The sequence below is a fragment of the Homo sapiens genome, chromosome 12 (genome assembly GCF_000001405.40).
Source record: "Homo sapiens chromosome 12, GRCh38.p14 Primary Assembly".
NCBI classification, from domain to species: domain Eukaryota; kingdom Metazoa; phylum Chordata; class Mammalia; order Primates; family Hominidae; genus Homo; species Homo sapiens.
In genome coordinates, this window is record NC_000012.12 from 12,917,975 (window position 1) to 12,934,038 (window position 16,064).

The 16,064-nt window shown below is 45.0% G+C and overlaps 1 long non-coding RNA gene across 6 annotated transcripts in view, besides 6 other annotated features; it reads left to right on the forward strand.

The window, feature by feature from the left end:
• Positions 2,985-3,129: an enhancer, noted in NCBI's record as "145 bp 12:13073965 sequence used in MPRA reporter constructs". NCBI's record gives its function as "activates a minimal TATA-containing promoter with rs1684353 allelic activity by MPRAs in C283T melanocytes {active_cell/tissue: C283T}" and the evidence as "EXISTENCE:reporter gene assay evidence [ECO:0000049][PMID:36423637]".
• Position 3,057: a transcriptional cis regulatory region, noted in NCBI's record as "rs1684353 or 12:13073965 MPRA-significant variant associated with a GWAS melanoma risk locus at 12p13.1". NCBI's record gives its function as "allelic transcriptional activity by MPRAs in C283T melanocytes {active_cell/tissue: C283T}" and the evidence as "EXISTENCE:reporter gene assay evidence [ECO:0000049][PMID:36423637]".
• Positions 4,214-4,301: a transcriptional cis regulatory region, noted in NCBI's record as "rs2111398-gRNA-G1, rs2111398-gRNA-G2 and rs2111398-gRNA-G3 region targed for CRISPR interference". NCBI's record gives its function as "positively regulates GPRC5A gene expression in UACC903 melanoma cells {active_cell/tissue: UACC903}" and the evidence as "EXISTENCE:mutant phenotype evidence [ECO:0000015][PMID:36423637]".
• Positions 4,214-4,366: a biological region, named in NCBI's record as "melanoma risk locus-associated MPRA allelic enhancer 12:13075202". NCBI's record gives its function as "regulatory_interactions: GPRC5A".
• Positions 4,222-4,366: an enhancer, noted in NCBI's record as "145 bp 12:13075202 oligo used in MPRA reporter constructs". NCBI's record gives its function as "activates a minimal TATA-containing promoter with rs2111398 allelic activity by MPRAs in UACC903 melanoma cells {active_cell/tissue: UACC903}" and the evidence as "EXISTENCE:reporter gene assay evidence [ECO:0000049][PMID:36423637]".
• Position 4,294: a transcriptional cis regulatory region, noted in NCBI's record as "rs2111398 or 12:13075202 MPRA-significant variant associated with a GWAS melanoma risk locus at 12p13.1". NCBI's record gives its function as "allelic transcriptional activity by MPRAs in UACC903 melanoma cells {active_cell/tissue: UACC903}" and the evidence as "EXISTENCE:reporter gene assay evidence [ECO:0000049][PMID:36423637]".
• GPRC5D-AS1 (GPRC5D and HEBP1 antisense RNA 1) overlaps positions 9,752-16,064 on the forward strand; it is a 94,773-nt gene continuing 88,460 nt past the window's right edge. For all 6 annotated transcript variants that reach the window (NR_149067.1, NR_149062.1, NR_149063.1 and 3 more), the window contains exon 1: positions 9,752-9,829. This is a non-coding gene — a long non-coding RNA (GPRC5D and HEBP1 antisense RNA 1). The remainder of the gene's footprint in view (positions 9,830-16,064) is intronic.

Below are 16,064 nucleotides of genomic sequence, written 5' to 3' on the forward strand. Positions count from 1 at the left end.
CCATCTTTTGATATACTTGGTTTCATATCATAATGTATTCAAGGTTTCAACCGGTTCTTACATGCTCCCCTTTACTGAGATTTTCTTTTTCTAAAAAAAAAATTTAAAAAATTTTAAAAGTAATTTTTTTTTCTTTTGGGATAGGGTCTTTCTCTGTCACTCAGCCTGGAGTGCAGTGGTGCGATCACGGCTCACTGTAGTCTCGACATCCTGGGCTCAGGTGGTCCTCTTGCCTCGGCCTTCTGAGTACTGGCTGGGACCACAGGTGCACACCACCACACATGGTTAATTAAAAAAAAATTGTAGAGGCAGGGTCTCCCTATGTTGCCCAGGCTGGTCTTGTACTCCTGGGCTCAAGTGATCCTCCTCCCTCCGCCTCCCAAAGTGCTGGAATTGCAAGCATGAGCCACCATGCCCAGCCTGAGATTTTATTTTCCATTCATCTTTTGACTCATCTCAGAATTGACCAGATTCAGCCACTCTTACAAGAAAGCTCAGGATCCAGTAAACAGTTAATTCTTTATTTTTATTATTATTTTTAAGACAGGGTCTTGCTTTGTCGCCTAGGCTGGAGTGTAGTGCTGTGATCTCAGCTCACTGCAACCTGCATTTCCTGAGCTCAAGCGATCCTCCCACTCTGCCTCCTAAGTAGCTGGGACTAGAGGCGTGCGCCACCACGCTTGGCTAATTTTTGAAATTTTTTTTTTTGTAGAGATGGGGTCTCACTATATTGCCCAGGCTGGTCTTGAACTCCTGGGCTCAAGCAATCCTCCCACTGTGGCCTCTCAAAGTGTTGGGATTGCAGGTGTGAGCCACCATGCCCCCAACCAACAGTGAATTCCTATTCACTTGTTTGTGTTATTGATTCCTTCAACTTCCCTGAGGCCCATAGTGAGCCAAAAACCCACACCCATCCCCCTTCTTTCTCTTTGCATGGAATTCTGGCTCCCTTCAGGGAGTAAGTGCCACACCTGGAAGAGCCCTCCCTCCCCGTGCAGCTTCTGAGAGCAGGTGCAGAGGTAGTCCTTGGAGATCCGTGCAGACAACTTGTGTTTGTAATGACTCAGCCAAGATGTTTGTCCCGAGCCCAGTGATTCAATCCAAGTCCAATCCAATCGTGGTCTTCAGCAGAAAAGAAATGACATGTTAGTGAAATTTAGTTGCGGCATATGCCACACCAAATTGCCTGGTTCCAGTTGCTTCTAGTGCAACCCCCTTCCATGTGATGATCTGTCAATCCTGCTGGGTTTGTATCAACTCAACTCAGAAAACTCCTCTGACAAGCCCATGTAGCCATGCTGTGAGCTCTGGGACGTGATTGTAGGGGCTAGCACCATGTTTCCTGACTACCACCTTTCTCTTTCTAAGAAGAAATGCTTCCAGGCCAACTTTTTTTTTTCCCCCACCAGGAATTGAAAGAGAAAAAGCACGTGCCAATTTTTAGCATGATTTCTTTTCTTTTTCTTTTTTTTTTTGAGATGGAGTTTCGCCCTTGTTTCCCAGGCTGGAGTGCACTGGTGCGATCTCGGCTTACCGCAACCTCTGCCTCCTGGGTTCAAGCGATTCTCCTGCCTCAGCCTCCCGAGGAGCTGGGATTACAGGCATGCGCCACCACGCCCGGCTAATTCTGTATTTCTAGTAGAGACGGGGTTTTTTTCCATATTGGTCAGGCTGGTCTCGAACTCCTGACCTCAGGTGATCCGCCTGCCTTGGCCTCCCAAAGTGCTGGGATTACAGGCATAAGCCACTGCGCCTGACCAGCATGATATCTTATGAACAATGGAAAAAAGCAGAGATCATGATAATAGAGTTAGATGGAGTCATAACTGAAACATTCAAGAAGAGATCCTTTACTAGATGGAAGTCTCTAGTGATGTGCCACAGGGCTCTGTCTTTGCATCTGTTTGGATAACGTTTTCATCAATCACTTGGATAAAGATAAAGCACATTTATCAAGTTTTGCACATGACACAAAATTAGGAAAGACTGAATAATAAAACCAGAATACAAATATGTTGCAATAAGCTGGAATGAAGATCCCAAGACAAGAATTTACTTTAATAGATGTAAATGTATTTGTGCTGTCAAAGTAAATTACATAAATACAAATTGGAAAGACTTGGTTTGACAGTAGTTTTTATGAAAAAGACTTGGTAGTTTGAGGTGTCTAGAAAACTGAGAAGGACCAGTGATGAGACAACAGCCAGAAAGTCAAAGCAATCGTAGGCAGCACTGACACATTTGTGAAGTCCAAGTCAAGGCATGTGCTGTTCCCCTGAGGTACCACATCACAGCATAAAATCCACATCTTTGCAGCTCACTCTAATGGAGGAGGAGCTTCTAACAGAGAAGCTATTTTTGGAATTTCATGACCTGCAGAATGGCTGATGGGACTGGAGCTAGTTAATCCGGAGAGGAGGAGATGTTGCAGGGGCATGATCATCACCATCACTAACATTTACTGTGCGCTTACTCCGTGCCAGGCTCTGTTTGAAGTGCTTTATTTATTTGTTTGTTTGTTTATTTATTTATTTTTGAGATGGAGTTTCGCTCTTGTCACTCAGGCTGGAGTGCAGTGTCGCGATCTTGGCTCACTGCAACCTCTGCCTCTCGGGTTCAAGCAATTCTCCTGCCTCAGCCTCTTGAGTAGCTGGGATTACGGGTGCCCGCCACCATGCCTGGCTAATTCTTGTATTTTAGTAGAGACGGGGTTTTACCATATTGGCCAGGCTGGTCTCGAACTCCTGACCTCAGGTGATCCGCCCGCCTCGGCCTCCTAAAGTGCTGGGATTACAGGCGTGAGCCACTGTGCCCGGCCTAAGCACTTTAGATGTATAATATAATTTAATATGTATAAAAACCTCATGCGTTATTACTTTTTTTTTTTGAGATGGAGTTTAGCTCTTGTTGCCCAGGCTGGAGTGCAATGGCGTGATCTCGGCTCACCGCAACCTCCGCCTCCCAGGTTCAAGCAATTCTCCTACCTCAGCCTCCCGAGTAGCTGGGATTACAGGCATGCGCCACCACGCCTGGCTAATTTTGTATTTTTAGTAGAGACGGGGTTTTTTCCGTATTGGTCAGGCTGGTCTCGAACTCCTGACCTCAGGTGATCCGCCCACCCCGGCCTCCCAAAGTGCTGGGATTACAGGCGTGAGCCACCGCGCCTGGCTGGGGTTATTACTATTGTTATCCCTTTTTTATTTAACACCTGCAGACACTGAAGCACCCAGGGGCTAGGTAACACCGAAGGCAACACAGCTGTCAAGTGATTGACTGGGAGCCAGGGTGGGGTGGGGTGCCTCCAGATTTCTTATCCATAACTCCCTGCTGCCTCCCAACCGTCTTTAATAACGATTGCCTAACAGGTGGCTCTGTGGTTAGAAATTTTAGGCAAGCAGATTCCAGAAGAGCTTCCTGCAAAATAGCGGGTCCTCTCTTGGCTGGTGATGTTTAAGCTCAATGAACTAATCAGTTCAATGCTATTCAAATAGCATGCGCTCCATTCCTAAGGCAACTTGCATTCTAAAGCAAAGTTATGAAGCAGAGAATTGTCTTGTAACACACAACTACCAATGACATCCAATAATAACACTTATTAAAAGGTGAGGACACATCCTCCAGCTCTGCTGGGGACAATGTGGGGAATTCTGTCTGGAGCAAGGCCTTCGATAAGCTTGAGGCAGCTTGTAACTCTTAGCGTTTAGACTTTCACTGGCTGAGTTGTTATTCTTCATATTTGAATCTAAGAGCCATGGAGAGTTCTTAGATTGTTAGTTTTCCTGGACAGTTTTCTTTCCCTATACCTCCAACCCAAACACTTCCTTTGCCCTTCAGGTGAAAATGGAAATGCTCTTCACTCTTGGGATGGGCCCTCACCTTTTAGTAAGTGTTATGGTTGGGTGTCGATTAAAATTAAGGGGGCTGTGTGTTGCAGGACTACTCCCTTGTTCAGAGCCTTGCTTTAGAATGGGAGCTGCCACGGGAACAGAGCTCATGCTATGTTAATATGACTTTATTGCGGACACGGTGATGATCTAAAATCCTTTGCAAAGGCACTTGAATTTTGTAAACACCACTGTGTTCTCCCACTCCAGATACATGTAGTCAATGTCTGAACTATTGCTTGATTTCGTTCTTTAGACAAAAACTACTGTCTTTTTAAGAAAAAAAAAAAAAAAAAAAAAAAAAAACAAAAAAACAAAAAACTACTCCACGTTGTCTTTGAGGGTGATTAATTGCATAAGAAAGAACCCCATGATTCGTGTTACTCAGCAGAATCAAAAAGGCTTGTGCATTGTACTTGGGTAGCATGAGTTTAGTCATCTGAATCACAAACCCATGACCTCTGGATACTTGGGAGCCAGAATGAGGGCCCAAGGGAGCATCTGACTGTACTGAATTAGAGGGAGGCAGAGGAAGGGGTGGGGTGCCAGGGCTTCCTTGGGAAGAAAGCGTCAGAGTGAGGGTGAGGGGATGGGGAGTGAGAGCCGATAAGTAGGAGGAAGAGTTGTAAAATCAGAGGCCTGGCAAAGTAATGAAGATAAAAGAATGTTACACTAAAGTTAAAATTAAGGACTTAAGAATCAGGAATTTGGCCGGGTGCAGTGGCTCGTACCTGTAATGCCAGCACTGTGGGAGGCCGAGGCGGGCAGATCACGAGGTCAGGAGTTCGAGACCAACCTGACCAACATGGTGAAACCTTGTCTCTATTAAAAATACAAAAAATTAGCCAGGCGTGGTGGCATGCGCCTGGAATCCCAGCTACTCAGGAGGCTCAGGCAGGAGAATCACTTGAACCAGGGAGGTGGAGGTTGCAGTGAGCTGAGATCATGCCATTGCACTCCATCCAGCCTGGGTGACAGAGCAAGACTCCATCTCAAAAAAAAAAAAAAAAAAAAAAGAGAATCAGGAATTCAGGAAAATATTGTTACAATTCCCAAAGGGTCAGACCTGTGTGTGAAATTGGGCAGATGGGTTTGACCTCATCATAGAACGTCATTCCAGTTTTTCCTCTACGTTTCTAGAACGCCCTGGCTTCATGAAAGACGGGGGACAAGGTGAGGAGGAGCAGCCTGCTAAATGCACAGAACCCGGCATGCTCAGAGATGGTTCTTTTGATTATGTTGGCCGTCCCCTCCCCGCCCCCAAGGCCCTGGCCAAGTCCTCTGTCCTTTCCTTTCTCTGACAAACCTGGCGGCAGTGCCAGAAACAATGAATTGATGAATTGGTACCTGTATATTTTTCCCAGATCATCAGGGCTACAGTCTGCATGCATGGGTGTTGCATTTAACTTTAAAAGAAAACTAGAGTTTAGAAAGAAAAATGGCTGTTTATATATTCTGCATAATGGAGAGGTTTCCTTCCTTCCTTCCTTCCCTCCTTCCCTCCCTCCCTCCTTCCTTCCTTCCCTCCCTCCCTCCCTCCTTCTTTTCTTCTCTTTTCTTTTCTTTCTTGACGGAGTCTCGCTTTGTTGCCCAGGCTGGAGTGCAGTGGCGCGATCTGGGCTCACTGCAAGCTCCGCCTCCTGGGTTCACACCATTCTCCCGCCTCAGCCTCCCAAGTAGCTGGGACTACAGGCGCCTGCCACCACGCCCGGCTAACTTTTGGTACTTTTAGTACAGATGGGGTTTCACCGCATTAGCGAGCTTGGTCCCAATCTCCTGACCTTGTGATCCGCCCGCCTCGGCCTCCCAAAGTGCTGGGATTACAGGCATGAGCCACCGTGCCCGGCCTCTCTTCTCTTTCCTTTTCTTTCTCTCTTTCTCTCTTTCTTTCTCTCTTTCTCTCTTTCTTTCTCTCTCTTTCTCTCTTTCTCTTTCTTTCTTTTCTTTTCTTTCCTTCCTTCCTTCCTTCCTTCCTTCCTTCCTTCCTTCCTTTTCTTTCTTCCCTCCCTCCTTCCTTCCTTCCTTCCTTCCTTCCTTTCCTTCCTTCCTTCCTTCCTTCCTTCCTTCCTTCCTTCCTTCCTTCCTTCTTTCTTTTTCTTTCTTTCTTTCTTTCTTTCTTTCTTTCTTTCTTTCTTTCTTTCTTTCTTTCTTTCTTTCTTTCTTTCTTTCTTCTTTTTCTTTCTTTTCTTTCTTGTCTTGCCCTGTCACCCAGGCTGGGCAATCTACCTGCCCTAGGCTTCTGAGTAACTTGGACTACAGGTGTGCACCATCACACCTAGCTTTTTTTGATTTTTTATAGAGATGGCGGGGGTGGGGGGGCTCTCTCTATGTTGCCCAGGCTGGTCTTGAACTCCCAAGCTCAAGCAGTCCTTCTGCCTTGGCCTCCCAAAGTGCTGAGATTACAGGTGTCAGTCACCATGGCTGGCTGTGGAGAAGCTTTCATGCTCCCCAGACATCTTCTTCAGTAGTCTGTGAGAATCTCAGAAATTCCTGGTATGTGTGGGGTACCGGCTGGTGGCTGTGTGTACAGACACACCCACACATCCACCCACATCCATGTCCACTCCTGTATACACCAATTGGCCGTAAGCCTAAGGTATGGAGAGTCATTTCTACACGTGAGATGAAACCAGTGCCCTTGCCTCCTATCACCGTATGTGTATGTGCACACTGTCATGCCAAATAAAACACATTTCCATTCAAGGCAGTAGCAAAACAGGGTTGCCGATTGTGTGGCTGAAAAGCAGTGCATGTCACCAACTGTCCCTAACTCACGGTGAGTGATCCATCCCTGTGACCTTGATTTTCACGATCTTTCATTTTTATTTACCTTTTATCTTTTGTAGAGATGGGTTCTCACTATGTTGCCCAGGCTGATCTTGAACTCCTGGGATCGAGCAGTCATCCCTCCTCGGCCTCCCAAGTAGCTGGGACTACAAGCTGGCCCAGATATAAGCAGGCAGTTTTTAATTTTTTTTATTATTATTTTTTGAAACGAACTCTCTATTGCCCAGGCTGGAGTGCAGTGGCGCGATCTCAGCTCACTGCAACCTCCACCTCCCAGGTTCAAGAGATTCTCTTGCCTCAGCCTCCCGAGTAGCTGGGATTACAGCTACTTGGCTGTACACCATGCCCGGCTAATTTTGTATTTTTAGTAGAGACGGGGTTTCACTATGTTGGCCAGGCTGATCTCCAACTCTTGATCTGCTCACTTCAGCCTCCCAAAGTGCTGGGATTACAGGCGTGAGCCACCGTGCCCGGCTAGAGCAGGCAGTTTAATGCTGGGCTCCCATAGTGGTAAGTCTTCAGGGTACTGAAATTTCGAATTTAGATTTATTTGTTGGTTTGTGTGTTTTTCTCTATTATATAGGCTTTAGAAGGACAGAAATTTGTTCTGTTTTTCTCAGTATTCCCTGAGCCTAGGACAGTGCCTGTACACATGGGTAAAATGAATAAACTTTTTGGGAGAAGGGTATTTTTTTTTCTTTTGTCACAGGCTAATTAGAATGATGTCCTTTCACTCAGAGAACACAGCCCTCAGGTTCTTCTCTTGTCTATTCTGGTGTCTTGAATGCCAATTTGTCTTCAAATAATTTTGATGAATTTCAGCTGATCAACCATCAGATTTTTGTGTGTGTTTCCATATAAGAACACTTAAATCCAGTGTGATAAAAGCAACTTACAAGCCCGAGGCTTGGAAGAAAGGAAAGGAATTTTTTACTTCTTGGGCTGAATACATTTCATCACATCCCAATTTATTTCCCTGAGGCTTTTCTTTGTCAAGCTTGGGAAAGTGCTGTTTCCTAGGAGAACCACACAAGAACAAACTTTAAATATGAGAAAAGAGAAAAGCACACCCCAAAGCAAAACAAAACAAAAAAAACCCCCAAAAACAATAAGAGAAGCATTTTAGATGGATTTTCTCCAAAGATCGATTGCATTGTGTTCCAAACGCATTTCTTTTCTTTCTTTTTTAAATTTTTTTTGAGATGAAGTTTCACTCTGTTACGCAGGCTGAGGTGCAGTGGCATGATCTTGGCTGACTGCAACCTCCACCTCCTGGGTTCAAGTGATTCTCCCGCCTCAGCTTTTCAAGTAGCTTCAGGTGCCCACCACCATGCCTGGCTAATTTTGTATTTTTAGTAGAGATGGGGTTTCACCACGTTGGCTAGGCTGGTCTCAAACTCCTGACCTCAAGTGATCCACCCGCCTCAGCCTCCCAAAGTGCTGGGATTACAGGCGTGAGTCACTGTGCCCAGTGTAAAGTGCATTTCTTTTCTAAACTGACTTGAACCAAAATGGATGAACAAGGACCCTTCAGATGATATACACCAAACTGGAAACAGATGAGAATGCCAGCAAATGGGCTCAGGAGGAATTTATCTTCTTGAATTTTCAGGCATAAGCTGATTTTGACAATGTTTTCTCTTACAAAAACAGGGTGAGCGTGTTCTGGATGGAGGCTGGGTGGGAACCCCAGGTCAGAGCAGATGTGGAACTGGGGCATGGGGAAGACTATACCCCAAAGAGGTGGGGGTGGGGAAGAAGATGAAAAGTGAAAGACGAATGTTCCCAGGGGCAGGAATTCATAAACTTTTTCCATTGATTCTGCCCTCTCAAGCCAATCACTTTCTGCCTTTTTGGACCAAATTGGGAAAGCCTGGACAGTCTGCTACAAACCAGACCAGAGCCTTTCCTTGTCAACAGAGCAGCGCTTCCTAAACTTATACTGCGTTAAAAATCACATGGGAATTTGTTAAAAATGCAGTGTCTGGAGGCCTCCTAGAGGTTCTGATTTAGTTGGTCTGAGTCAGGGTCCAAGAATTTGTATCCAGAGCAAGTATCCCGGCGATTCTTCTGCTTGGACAGGGTTGGGACAAGGCGTCGGCCAGTCATCCACATTGTCTTTTTGCAGATCCACTAATCTTCCATGCAGGCTCCAACAGCTCCTTCCCGGCCTGGGAACCCAAATCCGCAGGAAGAATCTCGGGGTGTTGTCTTGGCTTATTCATTCAGAGCTGTCGTGTGTGGTTCTGCAAACAGTACTCAGATGCGTTCCCTCTCCCCGTAGGGATCTTGCTGGAGATGCCCAGGGTTAACAGTGGAACTCCATATGGAGACAGAGGCATGGGGGGAGCTTCGCTGGAGATGGGACAGCCTGCTCCACCGCGAAGCCTACTGAGGCTCTCTTCTTACGTACCCCGCGCAATCTCATCTCCCTGAACAACTTCCACCTCCACCTTTCAGCTCATTCCCTAATGTCTGCTTCTGTTGGAACTCCACAATCTCATCTTTATCTGCCTAGGTGTGTTACAGTAGGTAGCTGTCAGGTATGAGCAGGGCAGGAGAGGGTCTGTTCCAATAGCAGGAACCTCAGGTGACCATCAGGTGATGGTCAGGCGGCTGTTAGTCTGTCGCTCTAAAATAATAATTGGTCGCAGCCGGTGCTAGGGAAAGACAGGCTCCCAGTAGATAGAAAACACCTGAAACGGGTGATAAGCAGCTTCCCGGTAAGATCTTAGCAGTTGGGCGAGTGTACTCAAGCATGAGCACTAACAGGCAGAATGCCAGAGTTTAACTGGTATATGACCTTCTAGGGACATTCGACTGATAAGGGAAGAACGCCTCACGTGAGCATGTGTACAACTCCTGCATGCGTACAAACACACTGCGCATGCTCCCCTCCCAGGCGCTGGCAGGCCACACACTGCGCATGCTCCCCTCCCAGGTGCCGGCAGGCCACACACTGCGCATGCTCCCCTCCCAGGTGCTGGCAGGCCACACACTGCGCATGCTCCCCTCCCAGGTGCTGGCAGGCCACACACTGCGCATGCTCCCCTCCCAGGTGCTGGCAGGCCACTGCGCAAGTGTGGACAGCCTACACCAAGGGAAGAGTCAGGGGAGAAGGAACACAAGACTCCGGAAGCATGCCAGCGTATAAAACCGTAAGTCAAAGGTCAGACTGTCCAGTGGGTGATCTCTCAAGTCGCCCGCTTGGCCTCTTCCAAGTGTACTTTACTTCCTTTCATTCCTGCTCTAAAACTTTTTAATAAACTTTCATTCCTGCTCTAATACTTGCCTCAGTCACTCCTGCCTTACCACAATATTTTTTAAAACAAAATCAATACCAAAAAGCCCATGATAAACAACATATCAAAATTTTATAAAAGCAGGCTGTTTGGTTTGTTTTACGACCTTGCGTTACTGCAAGAGAGGAGCCGTTTCCAATCAGGCTTTGGATCCTGGGCTTATGTGGCTGCTGTGTCCCTGCCATGGATCTGTGAGGGTTGACAATGGGGTACAAACAAATTGGGCAATATATATATACACATATATGTGTATATACATATATACACATATATGTGTATATATACATATATACACACATACATGTGTATATATATACATATATACATATATACACACATACATGTGTATATATATACATATATACATATATACACATACACATATATGTGTATATATATAATATATACATATATACACATACACATATATGTGTATATATATAATATATACATATATACACATACACATATGTGTATATATATAATATATACATATATACACATATACACATATATGTGTATATATATAATATATACATATATACACATATACACATATATGTGTATATATAATATATACATATATACATATATGTATATGTGTGTATATACACACATATATGTATATATGTATATATGTACATACACACACACACACACACATATATATAGTTTGTTTGTATTTTGAGAGGGAAGAAAGATGAAAGAAAGGGAGGGCTTAAAAAATTTTTTTTGAGACAGCATCTTGCTCTGTTGCCCAGGCTAAAGTGCAGTGGCACCATCATGGCCCACTGTTGCCTCAACCTCTCAAGCCCCATCAATTCTCCCACCTCAGCCTCCCGAGTAGTTGGAACTATGGGTGTGTGCCACCATTCTTGGGTACTTTCTAAAAAATTTATTAAAATATTTGAGACAGGGTCTTGCTTTGTTGCCAGGCTGGAGTGCAGCGGTGCAATCACAGCTCACTGCAGTCTTAACCTCCTGGGCTCAAGCAATCCTCCTGCCTCAGCTGCCTGAGTAGCTGGGTTCACAGGTACGTGCCACCACGGCCAGCTAATTTTTTTGATTTTTAGTAGAGACGGTGCCTTGCTATGTTGCCCAGGCTGATCTCGAACTCCTGGATTCAAGCAATCCTTCCGTCTTAACGTCCTAAAGTGCTGGGATTTCAGGCATGAGCCACCATGCCCAGCCTCTTGGATATTTTTATTAGATTTTTTTTTTTTTTTGTAGAGATGGGGGTCTTGCTGTGTTGCCCAGGCTGGTCTTGAACTCCTGGGCTCAAATCATCCTGCCTTGGCCTCCAAAAGTGTTGGGATTACAAGTGTGAACCACTGTACCTGGCCTTTTTATTTTTGTTTTAAAAGAGAGAAGAAAGGGAGATGGGGGGAAGGAGGCTTTATATATATATATATATATATATATATATATAATTTCTTATTTTTATTTTTTTTAGATGGAGTCTTGCTCTGTTGCCCAGGCTTGAATGCAATGGTGCGATCTTGGCTCACTGCAACCTCTGCCTCCCAGGTTTAAGCGATTCTCCTGCCTCAGCCTCCCTAGTATCTGGGATTACAGGTGTATGCCACCACACCTGACTAATTTTTTTGTATTTTTAGTAGAGATGGGGTTTCACCACATTGACCCAGCTGGTCTCAAACTTCTGACCTCAAGTGATCCACCTGCCTCCGCCTCCCAAAGTGCTGGGATTATAGGCGTGAGCCATCGTGCCCGGCTGAGGCTTAATTTTTTGATTGGAGACTTTTAAATGACGTTTTTCCACTTGGTTCAAAGCATGGGAAGATATTTTGATAAGCGCATATAGGGACACACACGTTTCCTTCTGTCTCGGGCTCCAAGAGGGCCTAGCACAGCAGTGCTCACTGATGATCAGGCCTCTCCTTCCAGTGCTCTTCACACACAGACCATGTCTAGATTCCTCCTTTCGGGATGGAAGCCCTGTGGGGGCAGAGCCAACCTCTCCCGTTGCTTCTCTCTTTGTCTATCTCTGCTCCAGCATAAGGAGGGCTTGCAGCTGGCTGAATGAGCCTTGGTTTTCCTTGCAGCCTCACCTTCAGACAGACTTTTCTGACCTGCATACCTGGTCCAATGCTGTCAGTTGACTAGTTTGGGTTTTTTGTACTGCTCAAAGGCACCCAGCTGAGATGGTTGGGGTGGGGTTGGAATCCAGTCTCACTGCTGGCCAAGCCCTGGATGCTGGCCTGAGGTCACATCCTTTGGGGTGGGGGCACATTTTCAAATTCATCCACTCAGAGGGGGCACATGTTTCTAACTCACACACAGTCTCCCTGTGTGTGGCTGTTCTGAGTACCATTCCCAACATCATCTGCTCAGGGAATTTCTACCCCCCATCAACCTCGTGTAAGACAGAGCTTGAGCTTTTGACCTCCTCTGTGAAGTCTATTTTGCTCTCAGTCTCTTAGACAGAATTGCTTTTTGTCTAGGAGACAGAAGTTTCTAAGTGCTTACTCTTGAGTTCTATACTTACTTTGTGGCAGACTAGTGACAAACCATCAGCCGACCAGGCCCAGGTCTGGAGGCCACACTTCGAGGGCTCCACCTTAGACCAGCCCTCTGCTGCACACAGGGTGACCTTCTACATGTTTTTATGATGGAAGCAAGCTATCTCTGTGAATTGTAATTATGTGGACAAGCACGGAGCCACATGGCTGGCAGAGCAGTCTGGCATGCATCAGTCAAGAGCAGGGCAGTTCTTCTTTGATCTAAGAATGTCTTTGAAGAACACTAGAATAACAGATGGTAAAGTAAAATGTTCAGACAAGTAACTCCTTGCTTTACCTCAGGATACCAAACAACTGGTTCAGTGTCTATGTCAGTCAGGATGGGCTGGGTTAGCTGACATAACAAACAGCCCCAAGTCTCAGTGGCATAAAGCAACAAAGCTTTATTTCTTGCACACGCTGCATGTTCATCATGGAACCCAGATGAATGCAGCAGTTGCTATGTGGAATATTGCTTACCACCATGGGAGGAAGGAAAAAGCCCACAAGGGTCTTGCATCAACAATTAATTGCTTGGGACTTGGAAGTGACATCATTTCTGCTTTCAACTTGTAAGGCAGAATTAGTGTCATCATCCCCCACAACCTCAAAAGGTGCAAAAGTGCAAACTGGCAGTGTACCCAGAAGACAAGAGAGTTTGGAAATATTTGGAAAACAACAGTTATGACTACCACAGTGGCACGTTCCATAAAGTTGACAGATTTTCCTAATTTTCTAAATAACCACCCCTAGTAGTTGTTTTGGTGTCTAGAAAAATGAGTTGTCAACAGCAGGACACAGCAGTAACAACTGCAGTTAAAAACCGAAAGCACAGTCTTTTTTGAATATCATGCAGTGACATCTCTGCCAGTAGTAAAGATTCTCATGCGGTATGTGTCTGTTTTATGTTATAGAGGTGGCTCAGATTATGCTGTAAAAAGCAGCAGAGTGATAGTGGCCCAAATGCAGTTTATTAGGTGAGAGTCTTAGCATCTTAGTAAAATATATATTATAAAATATATGTATGTCTCTGTGTGTGTGTGTGTGTGTGTGTGTGTGTATGTGTGTATTTCATAATTGAAAAGCATTGGCTAATCCATCCAATGGATCAGATGAGATGGTGGATGTGAAAATTATTTGTAAATTGTAAAGAGCTATAAAATAGAAAGCAAAGCACTATTTAAAAAAATTGTTGTTACCCTAAAAGATCAGGCATCTCATCATAGGGTCATCATTGGACACTTATGATCTAAGATCTTATTCTGCTTTAGGTATATACTCATTTCTTTTCCTTTGCTTTTAAAACAAAACTCTAATTATAGCAGCACTATAGCGAACATCCTTTTTTTTTTTTTTTTTTTTTTTTTTTTGAGACAGTCTTGCTTTTTTGCCCAGGCTGGAGTATAGTGGCATGATCTTGGCAACCTCTGTCCCCTGGGTTCAAGCAATTCTTCTGCCTCAGCCTCCCAAGTAGCTGGGATTACAGGCTCCCGCCACCATGCCTAGCTAAGTTTGTATTTTTAGTAGAGACGGGGGTTTTGCCATGTTGGCCAGGCTGGTCTCAAACTCCTGACCTCAGGCGATCCACCCTCCACCCTCCTCGACCTCCCAAAGTGCTAGGATTACATGCGTGAGCCACCACGCCTGGCCCGCATGGTGGTGGCTATATATACTCAAAACAAAACTGAAAAACTCAGTTTTTCTGGAGATAAATTGCCGTGTGATTAATACCACTGAATTAAACATTGAGAATTTTTTTTTGTTTGTTTTTGAGATGGAGTCTCACTCTGCCGCCCAGGCTGGAGCACAGTGGCATGATCTCGGCTCACTGCAACCTCTGCCCCACCGAGTTCAAGCAATTCTCCTGCCTCAGCCTCCCGAGTAGTTGGGATTATAGGTGCCTGCCACCGCACCTGGCTAATTTTTGTATATTTAGTAAAGACAGGGTTTCACCATCTTGGCCAGGCTGGTCTTGAACTCCTGATCTCATGATCCACCTGCCTCGGCCTCCCAAAGTGTTGGGATTACAGGCGTGAGCCACCACGTCTGGCCAAACATTGAGAAATTTAAAAATTAGTTACAGATAAAGTCTACACAAATTTCTTCTACATACAAATAAAGCCCAGGTGGAAACTACAACGAAATGTTCCATTTGTAGCATATACTTTAAAAAGTTCAGCCCCCTCAATACATGTAGGTGGGTCTTGTTTTAGGAAGATGTGCAAATTTCCAAACTCTTAAAACAGAATAATTAAGGGGTGAATTGCACATTAAAAAGTTAGGTTAGGTGTGGCATCTCATGCCTATAATCCCAGCACTTTGGGAGGCCGAGGTGGGAGGATTGCTTGAGGCCAAGAATTCAAGACCAGCCTGGGCAACATAGCAAGACCCTGTCTCTTAAAAAAAAATTGCCAGGTGCGGTGGTGTGCACCTGTATGTAGTCCTGGCTATTTAAGAGGCTGAGGTGGGAGGATGCTTGAGCCCAGGAGTTTGAGGCTGCAGTGAGCTATGATTGCATCACTGCACTCTATCCTGTGTGACATAGTGAGAGCCTGTCTCTAAAAAATATGTAAATAAAATAGAAAGTAATTAAAAAAGCATAATGTTCTCCCTCAGTGCATTAATATCATATAAAAAAACATGTGAGTAAAAAATTATGTCAGTTCTACAAGTTGAAATATATATACAATTCTATGGATAGCTTCCTCTGTATGTATGTTGTAGCATATATGCTATCATCTCACAATTAGTGGGCAATAATAGATGCAACTGAAATTCCTACAGTTTAGTTGATCTTGAATCCTAGGATGACACAGTTACCTCAAGAACCGTATCATTTGCCAAACCTAGACTTGATTGAACTAGATACTAAATATGATTCAAGTTCTAATAGTGCTTACGCCTGTAATCCCAGCACTTTGGGAGGCCGAGGCGGGCAGAGCACGAGGTCGGGAGATTGAGACCATCCTGGCTAACACAGTGAAACCCCATCTCTACTAAAAATACAAAAAATTAGCTGGGTGTGGTGACGGGCGCCTGTATTCCCGCTACTCCGGAGGCTGAGGCAGGAGAATGGCATGAACCCGGGAGACGGAGCTTGCAATGAGCCGAGATCACGCCACTGCACTCCAGCCTTGGCGACAGAGCGAGACTCCGTCTCAAAAAAAAAAAAAAAGAAAAACCCAGAAAAGATATTCGATGGCACTTCCAAAGTGCACTTGGAAGCTCTTTTAGTGACGATTCAGGTGAATATTAGAAATCGTCATTGTGCTTGCCTCTCTGATCCAACAGTTTGATTATTGCTGTCCAAAAGACCACCACGATGGCTAAAAGGTAGAAAGAAGACCTTTACTGGTGATAATCGCTTTGCCAGCTGGGAAGAGAAAGTGTCCAGTGTGTATCAAAGGTGCTCTCTCTTCAAAGAGGGGAAGGATGGTTGGGTTTTATGCCTCACAGGGTCTGTATTACACACTAGAGTCATACATATTCAGCAGGTTTGGGGAAAGGCTATACATATTTATGAAGGCTGCCTTGTGCTTGAGCAATGGGTAAACATATATGCAACATACATC